The 22,580-nt window shown below is 40.0% G+C and overlaps 1 protein-coding gene across 8 annotated transcripts in view; it reads left to right on the top strand.

Moving 5' to 3' along the window:
• Positions 1-22,580, top strand: part of PHKA1 (phosphorylase kinase regulatory subunit alpha 1) — a 135,493-nt gene that overhangs the window by 27,101 nt on the left and 85,812 nt on the right. For all 8 annotated transcript variants that reach the window (NM_001440788.1, NM_001440787.1, XM_047442160.1 and 5 more), the window contains 4 exons: positions 2,626-2,708; positions 11,056-11,136; positions 19,733-19,831; positions 20,909-21,055. In NM_001440788.1, the coding sequence (NP_001427717.1) occupies positions 2,626-2,708; positions 11,056-11,136; positions 19,733-19,831; positions 20,909-21,055 (410 nt within the window). The remainder of the gene's footprint in view (positions 1-2,625; positions 2,709-11,055; positions 11,137-19,732; positions 19,832-20,908; positions 21,056-22,580) is intronic.

Below are 22,580 nucleotides of genomic sequence, written 5' to 3'. Positions count from 1 at the left end.
TGCAAAGACTGGTATATGTATGTACCAGGAAGACCAGCAATTCAGTAAAAATCTGAAGGACATGACCAAACAGTTCATAGGAAAAGAAATATGAAACACAGATAGCTTATAAATATATCAAAAGATTTACAACCTTACTCATAATAAAAAACTGGAAATTAAACTACAAGGGGCTTCTATTTCTTATCCACTAAAGTGAGACAAAGATTAAAAATTTTTTTTAAAGCCTGTGTTTGCAAAGATGTAGGGAAACAGGCAGTCAGTGTTGGTATATAAACTGTAGAATTTCTTTGAAGAATAACTTGGAGATGATTATCAAAATTTAATATACATGATGAAGTATTTAGAGGGAAGTGTACGGATATCTGCAGCTTACTCTGAAATGTATCAAAAAGGAAGATGGATAGATATATGATGAACAAAGTATACTAAAATGTTAATGGTGGAGTTCAGATGGTGAGTATACAGGGGTCCTCTGTAAAATTGTTCCATATTTTTCTGTTTGTTTGAAAGTGTTCATAATAAAACATTGGAAAATAATATGCATACATCTTTGGGTCAGCAATTCCAAGAATCTGCCCTGATATACTGGCACATGTGCATAAAGATATATTTCCACAAATACTCATTGCAACATTGTAGTGAGGAAAGATTTGATACAACCGAAATGTCCTTCCGTAGGGAACTGGTTACATGAGTAACCGTTCAGTGAAATGTTCTGTAGCTATTAAAAAAATGAGACAGATGTATTTGAAATTATCTCCAAGTTACTTATATATGAAAAAGCAAAATGCAGTATAATATACAGTACTACCCTTTGTGTAATGTTTGTACATGCATAATATATCTCTGAAAGGATACAGAAGAAACTGGTAAAACAGGTTTCTCCAGAGAGATTTGGCAGTGGTGAAGGTGATGTGGTTCTGGGTAGGAGGAAGACTCACTGGTTATCCTTCGGCACAGTTTGATTTTTTTCATGAAAGAGTATTACTAAGTGCTGACTTACGAAGGGCGTGTTAGGTCTTAGAATTCTTTCTGAACTGGAATGGGTGTTCAGGATATTCACAGTGGAGTTCATTTGAAAGCTGACATTAAGAAACATTTGACAATCATTTTACATCATGCTTCTAAGAATGTGAGAGGACTTTTTCCATTCTCAAGTCCTTTTAAGGAAGTTTTTTTCATCTAGATCTAATTGCTCTAGATATGCCCACTGTTCAGCAAACTAGAATTTCTTGGCTTTTTCTGGCTAACACAACTACATAGCTGGCACATGTACTCATTTCCATTAAACCAACACATCTGTTTTTGTGACAAATGCGAACAAAAAATGTTTTGTTTAAATAGAATAGCCTCCACCAAGTAAATATGAGAAGCTTAAAAGTTTAGTCTCTATAGCTAACCTGATGTTCACTTTTTCCTCCTGTTTGTTATAGACCAGAAAGGAAAAATTAGCTTCCTGATTTTTAAATTCTGAAATGATTTCTTAGTTTAGAATCAAATAGTCCAAACCAAGTCTTTCATATGTAAACAGTAATATTTATTGTTATAAAAGAGGTATATTAAAAGTTAACTGCTTAGTAAATTTTAGGTGTATAAAAACTTTTAGTGCTCAGGATTAAGTAATTTTGTATAAAATTTTATGAAATATATCCTGCAGTTTTCTGATTTATTATGATTTTGCTTTTTAATATAACTTTAAATTACAAAAAATTACAAAAGTAGCACCTGTTTCTTGTAGAATACTGTAAAATTGCAAAAATGTCCAGAAAAGATAAAATAAAACTACCTTGAATCTCACCACCAAAGATAACTGCTATTAACTAACATCCTCCTGGTTATATATTTGTGTAGTTCTGTATGTTTGAGGGGGGAGATATAAAGAGAGGAGTTTTTAAGCAAAAATGGATCATATTATACATATTAGGAGGCAGTATAGCATCTTACCTCCTAATGAAACTGCATTCAGCATTCTCTGAAATGAAACTGAAATCAACAGTCAATTGAGTCCCGGTTCCACTATTTGTTAGTTACATGACCTTAGGAAAATTTTTAACTCCTTTAAGCCTCATGGAGAAAATAGAGGTGCTTACCTCTTAGGGTGGTTGTTGAAAAATTAAATGGATAATTCATGTAAAACATTCTGTGTGTAAGTTATAATATCTTTGTATGGCTTACATTTAGAATAATTATCATTTTTACTTAAAAATGCAATTTAAGTCCTTTTTAAAATCATAATTTTATCTATTTCTTGCTTAGTATTTAGACCCCTTCCAGCTCAGTTTTGAAATATTTGTCTTTTATTCCCCAAGTGCTTAGGTTTGTACATTTAAGCATATTATAAATTAGTTACCTATAGAATCAGATTTTACTTTTTGGTAAAATCTGTAAATAACAGTTAAAATTCTTCCATGTTGAAATATGCTTATATCTCGCTTAGTTGGAGACTAGCCTAGGACTTGTTTGTGGTCTTGTTTTTATAGTTTAAGATCAAAGTGCCTTCCATTGTTCCTAGGCAGGAGTAGGATTGCTTGGGATTAGTGAGATCAGTTAGTCACTATGGCTGCCTATAAAGCTTATAGTGATAATTGACCAGTTCTGTATCTTTATTCCCTCTTTCCTCAGGACTCCATATCATCCACAGCCTAGATGAAGTCAATTTCATACAGAACCTTGTGTTTTACATTGAAGCTGCATATAAAACTGCTGTAAGTACTGATTTTAGAATGGATTTTAGACATATGATGTTTTTGTTTTCTAAATACTGGGCAACTCAGTTGTTTTCTTAATGCTACTGCTCATAGTGAACCAACCTAAAAGGCTTCTGGCAGAAATTGTCTTTAGCCTCTTTCTTTATTAAGACCTGTCATCCTGTGTCTTCTCTTCAAGGGGGTTACAGAGACAAGAGGGTCAGGATGCTATACTTTCATTCCTTTCAAACTCTGTGATATCTCATGGTATGTATTTGGCAATCTGGGCTAAATTGTGGTCTTATTTTAATGATTTAAGTTCTTAAGAGCAAGATAGCTAGGTTGTATTGTGGGTCAGTTAGCTACTTAGAAATAAAATTTAGTCATGTTTGTAATATTATCTGTAGGTGTTGATTCAGTGCTTACAATGCAAATAAGTTATTTTTCCTTACAACTACCATATGAGGTAGGTTTCTGTTAAATCATAATATATTTAACATCTTCTCTGTATAAAATGTTAAGTTAGACACTATACAGGAATGCGATTTTTTTCTTCTTCAGTCTAACATAGACAACTTTTCTTTGTTGTTCATTGAAGCTTTATTCATAATCTCCAAAACTGGAAATAACCCAAATATCTATCAACAAGTAAATGGATAAACAAACTGTGGTATATCCATAAAATAGAATACTACTCATCAATAAAAAGGAATGAACTGTTGATTCATGCATCAGTGGGTGAATCTCAAAGGCATTATGCTTAGTGAAAGAAGTTAGACAAAAAATGTACAGACTGTATGATTCTACTCACATAAAATTCTAGAAATCTATAGTGACAGAAAGCAGATCCATGATTGCCTCAGGAGAGGAGCAGAGGGAGAGATAAATTACAGAAGAGTATGAGGAGACTTTTGGAAATTTTACAAATATTCATTATTATGATGATAGTTTCACGCATGAAAACATATCAAAATTAATCAAGTTGTACACTTTAAATATGTGCAGTTCTTTGTATATCATTTATACCTCCATAAAAATACAAAAGTTGTTATTATTTGTTGAATCTGTGTTTCCATTTCTGTTTCTGTTTTTGTCTGTTGCCCAGGCTGAAGTGCAGTGGCATGATCGAGGCTCACTGCAGCCTCAAACTCCCAGGCTCAGGTGATCCTCCCACCTCAGCCTCCTGAGTAGTTGTGACTAAAGGTATACGCCACCACATCCAGCTAATTTTTGTATTTTTTATAGAGACGAGGTTTCGCTATGTTGCCCAGGCAGGTCTCAAACTCCTTGACTCAAGCAATTCACCCTCCTAGGCCTCTCAAAGTGCTAGGATTACAGGCATGAGCCACCACACCTGGCCTGTTTTCCACTTCTTACTAACCACCCTCCTCCTTTGTGACCAACACATTATTTTTTATTTCTGTTAATTGGACAGTTATCTTTTAAGTATATTTAAATAAAAATTAGAAATTCATTTACCATTTCTGGTGTACTTCTTTTCTTCATGTAGATTCAGATTTCCAACTGGCATTATTTCCTTCTGCCTGAAAAACTTTCTTTTTTTTTTTTTTTTTTTTTTTTAATTTATTTTTTTATTGATAATTCTTGGGTGTTTCTCACAGAGGGGGATTTGGCAGGGTCATGGGACAATAGTGGAGGGAAGGTCAGCAGATAAACAAGTGAACAAAGGTCTCTGGTTTTCCTAGGCAGAGGACCCTGCGGCCTTCCGCAGTGTTTGTGTCCCTGATTACTTGAGATTAGGGATTGGTGATGACTCTTAACGAGCATGCTGCCTTCAAGCATCTGTTTAACAAAGCACATCTTGCACCGCCCTTAATCCATTTAACCCTGAGTGGACACAGCACATGTTTCAGAGAGCACAGGGTTGGGGGTAAGGTCACAGATCAACAGGATCCCAAGGCAGAGGAATTTTTCTTAGTGCAGAACAAAATGAAAAGTCTCCCATGTCTACTTCTCTCCACACAGACACGGCAACCATCCGATTTCTCAATCTTTTCCCCACCTTTCCCGCCTTTCTATTCCACAAAGCCGCCATTGTCATCCTGGCCCGTTCTCAATGAGCTGTTGGGCACACCTCCCAGACGGGGTGGTGGCCGGGCAGAGGCGCCCCTCACCTCCCGGACGGGGCGGCTGGCCGGGCAGGGGGCTGACCCCCCCACCTCCCTCCCGGACGGGGCGGCTGGCTGGGCAGGGGGGCTGACCCCCCCCACCTCCCTCCCGGACGGGGCGGCTGGCCGGGCGGGGGGCTGACCCCCCAACCTCCCTCCCGGACGGGGCGGCTGACCCCCCCACCTCCCTCCCGGACGGGGCGGCTGGCCGGGCAGAGGGGCTCCTCACTTCCCAGTAGGGGCGGCCGGGCAGAGGCGCCCCTCACCTCCCGGACGGGGCGGCTGGCCGGGCGGGGGGCCGACCCCCCCCACCTCCCTCCCGGACGGGGCGGCTGGCCGGGCGGGGGGCCGACCCCCCCACCTCCCTCCCGGACGGGGCGGCTGGCCGGGCAGAGGGGCTCCTCACTTCCCAGTAGGGGCGGCCGGGCAGAGGCGCCCCTCACCTCCCGGACGGGGTGGCTGGCCGGGCAGGGGGGCCGACCCCCCCCTCAACCTCCCTCCCGGACAGGGCAGCTGGCCGGGCGGGGGGCTGACCCCCCCACCTCCCTCCCGGACGGGGCGGCTGGCCGGGCAGAGGGGCTCCTCACTTCCCAGTAGGGGCGGCTGGGCAGAGGCGCCCCTCACCTCCCAGATGGGGCGGCTGGCCGGGCGGAGGGCTGACCCCCCCACCTCCCTCCCGGACGGGGCGGCTGGCCAGGTGGGGGGCTGACCCCCCCATCTCCCTCCCGGACGGGGTGGCTGGCCGGGCTGAGGGGCTCCTCACTTCCCAGTAGGGGCGGCCGGGCAGAGGCGCCCCTCACCTCCCGGACGGGGCGGCTGGCCGGGCGGGGGGCTGACCCCCCCACCTCCCTCCCGGATGGCACGGCTGGCCAGGCGGGGGGCTGACCCCCCCACCTCCCTCCCGGATGGCACGGCTGGCCGGGCGGGGGGGCTGACCCCCCCACCTCCCTCCCGGATGGGGCGGCTGGCCGGGCGGGGGGCTGACCCCCCCCCACCTCCCTCCCAGATGGGGTGGCTGCCGGGCGGAGAGGCTCCTCACTTCTCAGACGGGGCAGCTGCCGGGCGGAGGGGCTCCTCACTTCTCAGACGGGGTGGTTGCCAGGCAGAGGGTCTCCTCACTTCTCAGACGGGGCGGCCAGGCAGAGACGCTCCTCACCTCCCAGACGGGGTCTTGGCCGGGCAGAGGCGCTCCTCACATCCCAGATGGGGCGGCGGGGCAGAGGCGCTCCCCACATCTCAGACGATGGGCGGCCGGGCAGAGACGCTCCTCACTTCCTAGATGTGATGGCGGCTGGGAAGAGGCGCTCCTCACTTCCTAGATGGGATGGCGGCCGGGCGGAGACGCTCCTCACTTTCCAGACTGGGCAGCCAGGCAGAGGGGCTCCTCACATCCCAGACGATGGGCGGCCAGGCAGAGACACTCCTCACTTCCCAGACGGGGTGGCAGCCGGGCAGAGGCTGCAATCTCGGCACTTTGGGAGGCCAAGGCAGGCGGCTGCTCCTTGCCCTCGGGCCCCGCGGGGCCCGTCCGCTCCTCCAGCCGCTGCCTCCCGGGCGGCGCTCGCCGGCGCGGCGGCAAAGACTGAGACAGCTCCGCTGCCCGCTGAACTCCATCCTCCCGGCGGTCGGGCGGCGGCGGCTGCGGTCGGTCGCGGCAGCGGCTCCGCTTCATATCTGCAGCTGGGGCCCGCGGGCGTCAGCGCCGCGACTGTCCTGGCTCCGCACTGCCCCGGGCCGCAGCGCAGCGCGCCAACCACCAGCCGCGGCCACCATGGCCAGACGGGCTCCCTCGAAAAACTTTCTTTAACATTTCTTCATTCTTCTAGTGATGAACTATTTCAGCTTTTGTATGCCTGAAGAAATCTTTATTTCATCTTCATATTTGAAAAATATTTTCACTAGGTTTAGAATTTTATGATGGCAGATGTTTTTGTCTTTCAGTACTATAAAAATGTTGTTCCACTTTCTTCTTGCCTGTATTGTTTCTGATGACAAATTTGTTGTCAACCTTATGTTTGTTCCGCTACATGAATGTGCCTTTTTCTGCTGTCTGCTTTTAAAAGTTTCTTTTATGGCTGGGCATGGTGGCTCATGCCTGTAATCCCAGCACTTTGGGAGGCCGAGGTGGGTGGATCACCTGAGGTTGGGAGTTTGAGACCAGCCTGACCAACATGGAGAAACCTTGTCTCTACTAAAAATACAAAATTAGCTGGGCGTGGTGGCGTGTGCCTGTAATCCCAGGTACTTGGGAGGCTGAGGCAGGAGAATCGCTTGAACCCCGGAGGTAGAGGTTGCGGTGAGCCAAGATGATCACACCATTGCACTCCAGCCTGGGCAACAAGAGTGAGACTCTGTCTCAAAAAAAAAAAAAAAGTTTCTTTTATTACTGACTTTAAACACTTCGATTATGATATCCCTTGGTGTCATTTTCTTCACGTTTCTTCTATTTAGGGTCCATTTAGCTCCATAGATCTGTGCATATATCGCTTTCATCAAAAGTTTTCAGCAATTATTTCTTCATATTGTTTTTATGTTCCCCCCCTTCCTTCGAGTATTCAATAACATGTGTATTAGGCTGTGTGATGTTGTCCCACAGCTCACAGATGTACTGTTTAGTTTTTTAATTCTTTTTTCCCTCTGTGTTTCATTTTGGATAGCTTCTATTACTATGCCTTCGACTTCACTAATCTTTTTATTTACAATGTCTAATTTGTCACTAATCCCACCCAATGTATTTTTCAGGTCAGATACAGTTTTATCGCTAAAAGTTGAATTTGAGTCTATTTTTCTATATTCCATGTATCTACTAAGCTTTCTGAATGTATGGAATATAGTTATAATACATGCTTTAATGTCCTTGTCTGAGTATTCTAACATCTGTGTCAGTTCCAGGTTGGTTTCAGTTGATTGATTTGTCTCATTATGGGCTATATTTTCCTGCTTCTTGGCATGCCTAGTAATTTTTTACTGGATGAAAGACATCATGAATCTTATCATGTTGCATCCTAGATATTGTTGTATTCCTGTAAATATTCCCGAGCTTTGTTCAGGGACCTAGTTAATTTAGTTGAAAACAGTTTAATCCATTATTACTTTTAAAATGTGTTTTGTGGGACCAGAGTCATGTCTAGTCTGGGGCTAGTTATTCTCCACTACATAGGTAAGACACTTCTGAATACTCTACCCCATGCCCCCTGAATTATGAAGTTTTCTAGTCTGGCTAGTTGAAACAGGCACTATTTCTTGTCCTGTGTGAGCACTAGGTATTTTTTCCCTTTAATTCTTTGGGTGGTTCTTTCCCTAGCCTCAAGTAGTTTTCTCACTTACATGCATTCTTCATTATTCTGCTGAATATTTGAGGGGGACCCTCTGCAGATTTCTGTGGTTTTCTGTGTAGCTTTCTCTTCTCCGTTAGTCTGTCCTGCAAATTATGGTTACCTTGGTGTATCTGTACTTAGCGCCATTTCCTCAACTCAGGGAGTCTGCCAGGCTCTGTTTAGTTTTCTCCTTCCTGTATAGTGGCCTGCAAACTCTTACAACAGTAAGCTGGGACAGTCATAGGACTCATCCTATTTGCTGCCCTTTCTCAGAAATCACTGTCCTTCATTGTGTAGTGTTCATTGTATTGAAAACCATTATGTTATAAATAGTTTTTTAGTTGTTGCAGGTGGGAAGGTAAATCTGGAACCTGTGACTTCATATTCACCAGAAGCACAAACCTAACATAGATAATTTTATGCAAGCAGACATTATTTGTTGACTGATGGCTTTGCTTCTGACACCACAGGCCTGCTGTGGTTCAGTGCGGAAGTTAGGGTTCTTTGGCCTCTCCATTATATCCAATGATTATAACAGTAGAATTATTGATATTTCTGTATTCTCATACTCTAACCTTTGCTGCACAAACTAGAATGGAGCTGGATTGGGGGACAGATAAGGCCAGTCATGGGTTAAACATGGCTTACCTTCCTGAAACTTCACTTTAACTCAGAGATTTGGCATGAAAAGTAATTAAAGGTAGATACAGAGATACAGATGTGTGTGGGAGGGTGTGTGTTTGTGTGTATGCACATACACATTTGCACATGTCTGTTTCCAAGTTCCATTTAATGAGAGGGCCTAGAAGCAATGACACCTCAGTGACAATGAGTGTACCCAGTGCCCAGGTCTTGGATTCTGACTCTCATTTTCTGATCAAGTAAACCAGGACTTCTTATGAAAGTGGTTGATTCCAGGGCTATGGCGGGGAAAATATGAGATAAGATTGGAGCATCTTACAGTGCCAAAAAGTGAAGAAACGTTCAAAAAGGGAGTGTTTTATTTTGTTATGTTTTGTTTTGAGACAGGGCCTCTCTTTGTCACCCACACTAGGATTCAGTGGCGCAATCATGGCTTACTTCAGCTTCAACCTCCTGGACTCAAGCTATCTTGCCACTTCATCCTCCCTAGTAGTTGGAACTATAGAAGCACCATCATGCCTGACTAATTAAAAAAAATTGTAGAAACCGGGTCTCACTGTGTTGCCCAGGCTGGTCTCGAACTCCTGGGCTCAAGTGATCCTCCCACCTCAGCCTCCTAAATTGCTGGGATTGCAGGCAGGACCTACCATGTTCAGCCATGCTCAAAAAGGAATAGGCATGTCAAAAGGTCACAGGAGCCAACCTGAAAGAATACCCAATGGCCAAAGCTGGAACAGTTTGAACAACAAAATAAATGGTGATAGTGTTTTATTATAAGCCAGAGAAAAACCTAAATATCTGTAAGTTCATAGTAATATAAATAACTGAATAAATAAATAAATAAATGGGAGAGAAAGGACAGCTCTTCCTTAGAGAAGAGTTGCAACTAGTGGCTGTAGGAGTAATGAAGAGAACTGGAAAATCACCATTAAAGCACCACTGTAATAATTGTTTCTGGCAAGATCCATCAGTGGTTGCTGAATTAGTGGGTTAATGTTTGAGAGAAACAAGGTATTTGCATATTCCTAAAGTATCTCTCTCAAGATATTTATTAATTACAAACAAAAAAATAGTAACAGTGGAATTGAGAAACCCAGCAGACATCACGTTAACCAAGTGATGAGGGTTAATATCACCAGTAATAAGACGTATCAGCATTGTATATCCCTGCTATGATGCACTGAGAAGGACACAGCATAATGTCTGTAATACATATTCTTGCCTAAAATGCATAATCTCAGTCTAGTCTAATGAGAAAACATTAAGCAAACCCAAATTGAGGAAAATCTACTAAATACCTGATCACTAATCTTCAAAGAGTGTCAAGGTCACAAAAGACAAGACTTGAGGAACTGTCACTGATTAGAAGAGACTTAAAGAAACATGACAAATGCAGCATGAAATTCTGGATTGGATCCTGGAATGTAAAAAGGCCATTGGTGGAAAAAGTGGTAAAATCCAAATAAAGTCCATAGTTTGGTTAATAGTATTGTGCCAATTTTAATTTCTTAGCTTTAACTATTACACTGTGGTTATGTTAGACGTTAACATCAGGGGAAGCTAAGTGAAAGGCATATGGGAACTCCTTGTAGTGTTTTTGCAACTTTTGTATAAGTCTAAAGTTATTCCAAAATAAAAAGTTTTTAAAAGTAATTTTAAAGGCTATATGATTCAGGGGATTTATAGAGCTCTGGCTAAGAGGGTAGGCTTTGGAGTGAGATTCCTTGGATTCTAATCCTGGCTCTGTCACTTATTAACTGTGTGACTTTGAGTGAGTCACTTAACTTCTCTTTGCATCATCAGTTTCATCATCTATAAAATGTAAGGATTAAGAAAGATAATGTAAAATGCGTAAATTAGTGCATGGTACGTTGTCAGTACCAATAGAGAGTAAAATTAGAATGAATGTTTACAATAAAATATTGGGCTGCTATTTAGGCTCCATCTTGCAGATCTACTGGGTATTTGCTTTAATGAAAAATTTTGAGAAACACCTCTCCAGATAGACAGAGTTATAGTTCTTAGCCCTCCTGATTAACTGTTGAGGAGTCTTCCAATGGCTTGGAGGCCCCAGTAGAATTTAAAGCTATTGGCAAAGTAGCTGCAGGGGCCACCCCACACATTAGCATCTCCTTAATAAGCATTGTGGGTATATATATATATATATGGCAAATTAGTTACTCCTAGTGTCTTTTATTCAAGGGTAAACACTTCCTGCATCTAGGAAGTATTTAGTAGTTATGACTTGCTAATTGTATATTGGTTATTTTATGCCAGGACTTCGGGATATGGGAACGTGGAGACAAGACCAACCAAGGGATCTCAGAGTTGAATGCCAGTTCAGTTGGAATGGCAAAGGTAATTTTCCTTTCCTGTTTGTACTAAGTATGGGATGAGGAAGTCTGGTATCCCTTTGTCACAGATAAAACTTAATGTGACTGTGGACCATAATCAAATTAATTATTATTTTAAACCACAGGCAACATTCAGATTCTCCTGTAGAACCATGGATATGTAGATGAAAACTTTCATAAGCTGCAGATTTGATATCCAACTGCTTTTGTGGCATGTCTCTACTTATATTATATGCCATAAGGACTTGAAAGGACTTAAACTAAACTTATCATCTCTACCATTACAAAAACAAGCAAAAGAAGGCTTTTATTCCTTTCGTTTACCAGTTGACCAAGCTTTATATCAAGGAATCATCTTTCAATCCTCTATCCTCTTTATTTTCCTCCATCCCCCAAATCATCATCATCATCATCATCATTAGCAGCAGCAGCATTACTATTCAACTTGGCTCTACTTTTTCATCCTACCCACTATTGTCTTCTCTGGAAACAGCAAGAAGACATACAATAAGATAGCAGGAATAAGATCAAACATATCCATTATGAGAAATATGCATGATTTAGTCTGTCCTACTAATATGCAAAGATATAGATTGATTTTAAAAAATAAAAGGAAATCCAATATATGCTGTCTATAAGAGCTCTAATATAACAAAATGATACAGAAAGGTTAAAAACAGAAGGATGAGCAAAATACAGTCTGACAAGCATAAAATGAGCTAGGGTGACTGTGAATGTCAAGTGAAGTAGAATTCAAAGTAAAAAATATTGCATGGAACAGAGAGGACAAAGGGAGTCACAATAGAATTTTATTCCATTTTTTTATTTTATTTATTTTTATTTTATTTATTTATTTATTTATTTATTATTATTATTATTATTTTTTGAGACGGAGTCTCACCCTGCTGCCCAGGCTGGAGTGCAGTGGCACGATCTTGGCTCACTGCAACCTCCACCTCCTGGGTTCAAGAGATTCTCCTGCTTCAGCCTCCCGAGTAGCTGGGACTACAGGCATCTGCCACCATGCCCAGCTAATTTTTTTTTTTTTTTTTAGTAGAGACAGGGTTTTGCCATGTTGACGAGGCTGGTCTCGAACTCCTGACCTCAGGTGATCCATCTGCCTTGGCCTCCCAAAGTGCTGGGATTACAGGCATGAGCCACTGCACCCAGCCTAACAATCTCATAGTGCACTGAACAACATAACCAAACATCCTTCTATGTCATTTCACACAGACAAATTTAGTTCATTCTTTTCAGCTGCTATACAGTATTTAATAATTGCTCCATTGACAGAATTGTCTTTATTTTTTAACATTCTAGATAATGCTTTAGTGAAGATCCTTGTACATACATCCAGGTAAATTTACACAAATATTTTTATAGGAAAAATTCCTCAAAGTGGAACCCTTAGGTTAAGGGATGTATACTTTTAAATTGCCCTTCAGATATGAACAGACACTTCTCAAAAGAAGACATTTATGCATCCAAAAGACACATGAAAAAATGCTCATCATCACTGGCCATCAGAGAAATGCAAATCAAAACCATAGTGAGATACCATCTCACACCAGTTAGAATGGCGATCATTAAAAAGTCAGGAAACAACAGGTGCTGGAGAGGATGTGGACAAATAGGAACACTTTTACACTGTTGGTGGGACTGTAAACTAGTTCAACCATTGTGGAAGTCAGTGTGGCGATTCCTCAGGGATCTAGAACTAGAAATACCATTTGACCCAGCCATCCCATTACTGGGTATATACCCAAAGGATTATAAATCATGCTGCTATAAAGACACATGCACACATATGTTTATTGTGGCACTATTCACAATAGCAAAGACTTGGAACCAACCCACATGTCCAACAATGATAGACTGGCTTAAGAAAATGTGGCACATATACACCATGGAATACTATGCAGCCATAAAAAATGATGAGTTCATGTCCTTTGTGGGGACATGGATGAAGCTGGAAACCATCATTCTCAGCAAACTATCCCAAGGACAAAAATCCAAACACCACATGCTCTCACTCATAGGTGGGAATTGAACAATGAGAACACATGGACACAGGAAGGGGGAACATCACACACCGGGGCCTGTTGTGGGGTGGGGGGAGGGGGGAGGGATAGCATTAGGAGATATACCTAATGTTAAATGACGAGTTAATGTGTGCAGCACACCAATATGGCACATGTATACATATGTAACAAACCTGCACGTTGTGTACATGTACCCTAAAACTTAAAGTATAATAAAAAAAAATTTCAAATGAAAAAAAAAATAAATTGCCCTTCAAAAATATTTCCACTAGTTTACATTTCCCATCCTCATATGATAGATATACGTCATTATGTACCATAGATGTCATTTTTCTTTTCTTTTTTTTTTAATCATATGCTGTTTCTTTCAGTGAATGAAAGTGTTTGACAGAGAAATACCTTTGGAAACAAATATTGAGAACATGTTATTACAACTTGTTTCTTTTTGCACTGGTACTTATTATTACAAATTTACATATAGAGCTTTTTTGCCACTTTTCTCAAACTCTCACTACCTGGATATTATCAATATTTTTGTATATTTGATTTAAAGTTTTTTACCATTTAAACTTTTTTACTTTTTATTTTGTAATCATTTGTGACTTAGAGGAAAGTTATAATAATTGTACAAAGAATTCCTATATAGTACCCTTCACTCAAGTTCCCTACTTGTTAATATTTGCTTTATCTTTTTCTCTGATTAAACAAAACAAACACACAAACACACAATTGTTTTTTTCTGAACCAGTAGAGAGTACATTGCAGACATGATGCCCCATTACTCCTAAATATTTCAGTGTGAATTTCCTCAAGGACTCTTTTATAACCATGATACAAGCATCAAAATCAGGAAATGAACACTGGCATTATACTGCCACCTAATTGATATAGCCCATTCAAATTTATTTAGTTGTCCCAATAATGTGATTTATAGCAAAAAAAAAAAATCCTTTTGATCCAGGATCCAGTCTAAGATAACATATTACATTTAATTGTAATGTCTCTTTAGGCTTCTTCCGTCTGAAACAGTGCCTCAGTCCTTACTTGTCTTTCATGACCTTAGCATTTTTGAAGAGCATAGGCCAGTTATTTTACAGAATGTTCCTCGATTTGATTTTGTGTGATATTTCCTCACGATATAGGTTCAGGTTATGTGTTTTTGGCAAGAATACCACAGAGGTGATGCTGTGTCCTTAGTTTATCATCAGGAAGCACATGATGTGAATTTGTCCCATTACTGTTGATGTTATCTTTTATGACTTCATTAAGGTGGTATCTGCCAGGTTTCTCCACTGTAAATTTTCTATTTTCCCTTTGTAATTGCTATGACTTGAATGTTTGTGGTCCCCCCTCACCAAAATTCGTATTGAAACTTAATTACCAATGTAGCAGTATTGAGAGGTGGAGCCTTTAAGCCGTGACTGGATCATAAGGGTTCTTCCATCATGAATGCATTAATCAATTCATGGATTAATGGATTAGTGAGTTATCATGGGAATGGGACTGGTGGCTTTATAAGAAAAGGAAGAGACACTTGAGCTAGCACACTCAGGCCCCCTCATCATCTGATACCCCATTCCACCTTGGGACTCTGCAGAGTTTCTACCCGCCAGAAGCCCTCACCAGATGGGGCCCCTTGACATTGGACTTTATCAGCATGATGAACGGGAGCCAGGTGCTATTCCTCAAGACAATGGAGGAAAGACCCCAAGGCATTTCAGAGATCTTAGATGCTGCCTTTTCCATCACAGGTCCAAAGGCCTAGGAGGGCAGAATAGTTTCAGGGGACAGGCCTGGGGTGTTCTTTATGGGCTGTGCCCAGGACTGCCTTGGAACTGTACTCCCGGCACCCCTGCTTCAGTGTTCACTCAGCTCATGCCACTACTCCAAAAGGTCCAAGTGATAAACCTTGAAGGTATCCATGTGGTGTTAATTCTGCAGGCCCACAGAATGCAAGAGCTGCAGAAGCATGACAGTTTCCACCTGGATCTCAAAGGATATATAAAACAGCTTCTGTTCTGAATGGTATTGCCTAGGTTTTCTTCTAGGGTTTTTATGGTTTTAGGTCTAACATTTAAGTCTTTAATCCATTTTGAATTAATTTTTGTATAAGGTGTAAGGAAGGGATCCAGTTTCAGCTTTCTACATATGGCTAGCCAGTTTTCCCAGCACCATTTATTAAATAGGGAATCCTTTCCCCATTGCTTGTTTTTGTCAGGTTTGTCAAAGATCAGATAGTTGTAGATATGCAGCATTATTTCTGAGGGCTCTGTTCTGTTCCATCGGTCTATATCTCTGTTTTGGTACCAGTACCATGCTGTTTTGGTTACTGTAGCCTTGTAGTATAGTTTGAAGTCAGGTAGCGTGATGCCTCCAGCTTTGTTCTTTTGGCTTAGGATTGACTTGGCGACGCGGGCTCTTTTTTGGTTCCGTATGAACTTTAAAGTAGTTTTTTCCAATTCTGTGAAGAAAGTCATTGGTAGCTTGATGGGGATGGCATTGAATCTATAAATTACTTTGGGCAGTATGGCCATTTTCACGATATTGATTCTTCCTACCCATGAGCATGGAATGTTCTTCCATTTGTTTGTGTCCTCTTTTATTTCATTGAGTAGTGGTTTGTAGTTCTCCTTGAAGAGGTCCTTCACATCCCTTGTAAGTTGGATTCCTAGGTATTTTATTCTCTTTGAAGCAATTGTGAATGGGAGTTCACTCATGATTTGGCTCTCTGTTTGTCTGTTATTGGTGTATAAGAATGCTTGTGATTTTTGTACATTGATTTTCTATCCTGAGACTTTGCTGAAGTTGCTTATCAGCTTGAGGAGATTTTGGGCTGAGACAATGGGGTTTTCTAGATATACAATCATGTCATCTGCAAACAGGGACAATTTGACTTCCTCTTTTCCTAATTGAATACCCTTTATTTCCTTCTCCTGCCTGATTGCCCTGGCCAGAACTTCCAACACTATGTTGAATAGGAGTGGTCAGAGAGGGCATCCCTGTCTTGTTCCAGTTTTCAAAGGGAATGCTTCCTGTTTTTGCCCATTCAGTATGATACTGGCTGTGGGTTTGTCATAGATAGCTCTTATTATTTTGAGATACGTCCCATCGATACCTAATTTATTGAGAGTTTTTAGCATGAAGCGTTGTTGAATTTTGTCAAAGGCCCTTTCTGCATCTATTGAGATAATCATGCGGTTTTTGTCTTTGGTTCTGTTTATATGCTGGATTGCGTTTATTGATTTGCGTATATTGAACCAGCCTTGCATCCCAGGGATGAAGCCCACTTGATCATGGTGGATAAGCTTTTTGATGTGCTGCTGGATTTGGTTTACCAGTATTTTATTGAGGATTTTTGCATCGATGTTCATCAGGGATATTGGTCTAAAATTCTCTTTTTTGGTTGTGTCTCTGCCAGGCTTTGGTATCAGGATGATTCTGGCCTCATAAAATGAGTTAGGGAGGATTCCCTCTTTTTCTATTGGTTGGAATAGTTTCAGAAGGAATGGTACCAGCTCCTCTTTGTACCTCTGGTAGAATTCTGCTGTGGATCCATCTGGTCCTGGACTTTTTTTGGTTGGTAAGCTATCCTTCACGTCTAAAACACCAAAAGCAATGGCAACAAAAGCCAAAATTGACAAATGGGATCTAATTAAACTAAAGAGCTTCTGTACAGCAAAAGAAACTACCATCAGAGTGAACAGGCAACCTATAGAATGGGAGAAAATTTTTGCAACCTACTCATCTGACAAAGGGCTAATATCCAGAATCTACAATGAACTCAAAGAAATTTACAAGAAAAAAACAACCCCATCAAAAAGTGGGCAAAGGATATGAACAGACACTTCTCAAAAGAAGACATTTATGCCACCAAAAAACATGAAAAAATGCTCATCATCACTGGCCATCAGAGAAATGCAAATCAAAACCACAACGAGATACCATCTCACGCCAGTTAGAACGGTGATCATTAAAAAGTTAGGAAACAACAGGAGCTGGAGAGGATGTGGAGAAATAGGAACACTTTTACACTGTTGGTGGGACTGTAAACTAGTTCAACCATTGTGGAAGTCAGTGTGGCGATTCCTCAGGGATCTAGAACTAGAAATACCATTTGACCCAGCCATCCCATTACTGGGTATATACCCAAAGGATTATAAATCATGCTGCTATAAAGACACGTGCACCCGTATGTTTATAGCCGCACTATTCACAATAGCAAAGACTTGGAACCAACCCACATGTCCAACAATGATAGTCTGGATTAAGAAAATGTGGCACATATACACCATGGAATACTATGCAGCCATAAAAAATGATGAGTTCATGTCCTTTGTAGGGACATGGATGAAACTGGAAACCATCATTCTCAGCAAACTATCACAGAGACAAAAAACCAAACACCGCATATTCTCACTCATAGGTGGGAATTGAACAATGAGAACACATGGACACAGGAAGGGGAACATCATACACCGGGGCCTGTTGTGGGGTGGGGGGAGGGGGGAGGGATAGCATTAGGAGATATACCTAATGCTAAATGACAAGTTACTGGGTGCAGCACACCAACATGGCACATGTATACATATGTAACTAACCTGCATGTTGTGCACATGTACCCTAAAACTTAAAGTATAATAGTAATAAAATTAAAAACAACAACAACAACAACAACAAAAAAAAAGAAAAACAGCTTCTGGGCCCAGGCAGAGACTTGTCACAGGGGTGGAACCACAACAGAGAGCCCCCGCTAGAGCAACACTGAAGCAGAAACATGGGGTTGCAGCTTCCACAGAGAGTTCCCACTAGGGCAGGACCACCACTGGGATGCCAGAACTGTGGAGTCACTGGCAGCATGCAAGGTCTGCCTGAGAAAGCTTCAGATACCAGACTGCAACCCATAGAAGCAGCCACCTGTGCTGTACCCATCAAAGCCACAGGGGCAGGGCTGCCTGAGGCCTTAGAGACCCAATCCCAACCTGCGCGCAGAGTCAAAAGGGATTATTCTTCAGCTTTCACATTTAATGTCTGCTATGCTGGGTTTAAGACTTGCTTTAAGCCTGTTACTGCTTTCTTTTTGCCTGTTTCTCTCTTTTAGAATGGGAATATCTCTGTCTGTCTTATGCCTGTACCACCATTGTATCTTGAAAGTTGATAACTTGTTTTGATTTCAGACTCACGGATGAGATTTTGGACTTTTGAGTCTTATCCTTGGTGCTGGAATGAATTAAGACTTTGAGGCTATGGGGTTAGAATGAATGTATTTATATGTGAGAAGGACATGAGTTTGGTGAGGGTAAGGAGTAGAATAGTAAGGCAGTAATTAATGAGTATTTTGTGCCTGGCCAACTTCTACTTACCCTATAGGTCTCAGTTTAGGTGTCATTTCTTCAGGGAAGACTTTCAAAACTGGCTTCTACCCCCAAGACTAGGTCAAGTCTGCCCTTTAATTGAGGAATTACAGATAACTAATAAATACTAGAAATAATATTCAATCTTGTTAACAATTTAATGCATATGAATGCAACAGATATACCATTTTTTAATCACATTAGGAAAAAATGTTTAAGATAATACATTGTTTGCATTAAGGAAGGTATTGTCATATACTGCTAGTGATAGCTATGTTGGTACAACTTGCAAGAAAAGCAATTTAGCATTATGTCTTAAAAATTATTCATACTCTTTTACCCAATGATTCTACTTCAGGGAATTGATGCTTACAAAATAACTCAAAATGAATACAAAGAGTTATTTTATTAGCTTGACAGTCATTATTGAGAGCCTACCGTATGCCATGGTTTGTGCTAGATATTAGTGAAGACATAATCCCCGACCTCAAGGAATTTATAATTTAGCAAGAGATGTTTATCAAAGTTCTATTTCTAATAGCACAAAATTAAAGGCGACCTAAATTTCCAAGAATTGGTAAATGGCTAAATATACTTTATTATAGCCATATGAGATAATAGTATGTCAAAATAGTGTTTGTAATGTGGAAAAATACTTACACTATATTATTAATTGTAAAAAGTAGGATACCAGATGTGATCTCAACTGTACACAAATAGACATAGAAAAAACTAATAAAAAACATGTCAAAAATGTTAAAAGTGGTTGTTTTGGGTGATTTTCTTGCCCTCTCTGTACTTTACTGTGTTTTCAAAGTATTCTATAAGGAGTGTGTTTTACTTTTATGATCAAAAATATATTTAGAAAAGTAAGAAATAAATAAATAAATTCTATTTTAAAAAACATAATATCTCATTTATATGTGGAATCTAAAGAAGTTGAACTCATAGAAGGAGAGAGTACAATGATGGTTAAGTATGATACTTGATAGTGCTACAGACTCCTTTTTAACTTTCTCTGAGACAATATGGGAGACAAAGAAAAACTCAGAATGCCCTGGGAATAAATAATGTTTTTGTATTATATATTCTGTCAGACATATTCAAAAGTGACATCATGTGTGTTGATAAGATACTGGGATATAGGGAGAAGAAATATATATCTTTCTAATGCTAAACTTGTCCATTTCTTTCTTGTTCCTCACAGGCAGCCCTGGAAGCATTAGATGAACTGGATCTGTTTGGTGTGAAAGGTGGGCCTCAATCAGTTATCCATGTCCTGGCTGATGAAGTACAGCACTGCCAGGTAAAATATTATGGAAAATGGAAATAGCAAATTTTATTCTTGCCCAGACTCAGATTTAAGCATGAGCTTTAGATTAAGGATAGCTGAATGAGAGACAGTGCATCATCTGATTAATTACCATGTACCAAAAATATATTTAACAAGCATACTATACTGAGATAAGCCAAATATAGCATGGGCTATAAAATAGATCATAGTCCTGTTCTCTAGCCAAAGGTTATAAAGGGATCCCACCATACTATGTGGAATTATCCACCACTATCATATCAAAGGGATATGGTCTCTCTTTCTGAGTATCTCCTTTTCTAAATATATAAAGAAAACCAGAGATGATGGATTTGTAGTATTCTTGTTAGTGTTTCTGAAACATTCTCTTGTTCCTGGTTGGCTCTAGGCTTAGATATTTGGAGATTAGACTTTAAGTGGCAAATATGTATTTTCAGTTTTGTTTAGGATTACTCTCCATATTGAAAGATTAAGGTTTTTCTCATTGGCATGAGGAATTTTCTCCTTTCCTTCAAACCCTGATTAGATACCATAGGGTCCTATTGAATATAAACTCATCTCCAATTTTAAAAACACAAAATTTCCCAGAGGAAAAAAGTGGGTCAGAAGTAGAGGAGCTGAGCCTTCCCTATCCTGCTTCTTAGCAGCTGTGTTTTCTCTTGACTTTATTCTTAAGTAGTTGCTAATGGAGCAACAGGACTGTGGGTGGTATAATAATGTTAGAATATTCCTTATCTGTGAGTAACTGGTTAAGAATCAGGATAGGGAAGTATTGAGAGCAGAATTAAGACAAGGGATGATTTTCAGAAATTGCTGGTTTTCTAAGTTCTAACTATTGAATAATGTCTAGATTTTCTTGTGAATGGTCCTCTTCTACATAAATCTTTTGAAACTAAAGCTATTAGTTTTACAATGCTAAGGTATTTACTAACCTACTTAAAATAGATAAAGAATGTTCTTTTCTATTTTGTCAAACATATTCAAAAGTGATATCATGTGTGTTGATAAGATATTGGGGTAAAGGGAGAAGAAATACATCCTTTTATATAAACTTAACTTCTTTTCTCTTAGTCTATCCTAAATTCACTACTGCCCCGTGCTTCAACATCAAAAGAGGTTGATGCTAGTCTACTCTCAGTGGTTTCCTTCCCTGCCTTTGCAGTAGAGGATAGCCAGTTGGTGGAGCTCACAAAACAGGAAATCATCACCAAGCTTCAGGTATGTCCCTATGTACCTTTGTTTTCTTTAAGGCTGTGACTTTAAGGATAAATTGTGCCTTTGGGGGCCTTAAGTATGACCTGTGTCTGTGATTTCAAGAAACCTTTAAGTTTTCTGAGTTGTCTTTATAGTTTCTTTTAAAAGTGTTAAAGCTTCTACAGCCGTTCCTGGTAGCAATGCAGGGTGGTACACCCACTTTAGAAAACAGTTTGGCAGTTTCTTATAAATTTAATCATACACCTGCCTTATAACCCAACTATGTCATCCTAGAAATCTACCCTACAGAAATGAAAACTTATGCTCACAAAAAAATCTGCACACAAATGTTTACAGCAGCTTTATTCATAATTGCCAAAAACTGGAAAAAACCTTCAACAGAGGAAGGGATAAACAAATTACACTATATTCATGCAGTAGAATACTGCTCAACAATAAAAAGATACAAGGTACCAACTTGATCAGATTTAATCATGGTGTATAATCTTTTTGATGTGCTGTTGGATTTGTTTTGACAGTATTTTGTTGAGGATTTTTGCATCTATGTTCATCAGGGATATTGGCCCATGGGTTTTTTGTTGTTCTTGTGTCCTCGTCAGTTTTGGTTTCAGGGTACTGCTGGCCTTGTAGTGAGTTTGGAAGAATTCCCTCCCCTTCAATTTACTGGAGTAGTTTGGTTTTAGCTCTTTAAAAGTTTGGTAGAACTCAGCAATAAAGCCATCCATTCCTGGACTTTTCTTCATCGGAGTACATTTTATTACTGATTCAGTCCCATTACTCGTTATTTGTCTTTTCAGGTTTTCTATTTCTTCTTGGTTCAATCTTGGTAGGTTGTATGTGTCCAGAAATGTATCTGTTTTCTCTAGAGTTTCCAATTTCTTGGCATATACTTTTTGATAATAGTCTCTAATAATCCTTTGTATTTCTGTGGTATCGGTTATAATGTCTCTTTTTTATTTCTTATTTTATTTACTTGGGTCTTTTATTCTTAGTCTGGCTAATGGTTTGCCAATTTTGTTTATTTAAAAAACTTTTCATTTTGTTGATCTTTTGTATTTTTTGGCCTTAATTTCACTTATTTCTTGTTTGGTCTTTGTTATTTCTTTCCTTCTATTAATTTTGGGTTCTGTTTGTTCTTTTCTAATTCCTTGAGGTTCATCATTAGGTTGTTTATTTCAAATCTTTCTACTATTTTGATGTAGGCATTTATTGCCATAAACTTCCTTCTTAGTACTGCTTTTGCTGTATCCCACAGGTTTTGGGATGTTATGTTTCCATTTTCGTTTATTTTAAGAAATTTTAAAATTTCTTTCTTAATTTCTTCATTGACTCGTTGGTCATTGAGGAGCATGTTGTTTAATTTCTGTGTATTTGTACAGTTTCAAAAGTTTCTCTTGTTATTGATTTCTAGTTTTCATTGCAGTCAGAAAAGATAATTGATAATGATTTCAATTTTTTAAAGTTTGTTGAGACATGTTTTATCACCTAACATATGATCAATCCTGGAGAATGTTCCATGTGCTAATGT

Source organism: Homo sapiens, chromosome X (genome assembly GCF_000001405.40).
Source record: "Homo sapiens chromosome X, GRCh38.p14 Primary Assembly".
Lineage (NCBI taxonomy): Eukaryota > Metazoa > Chordata > Mammalia > Primates > Hominidae > Homo > Homo sapiens.
Note: the sequence above shows the minus strand (reverse complement) of the source record. Positions and strands in the feature narration are given on the sequence as shown.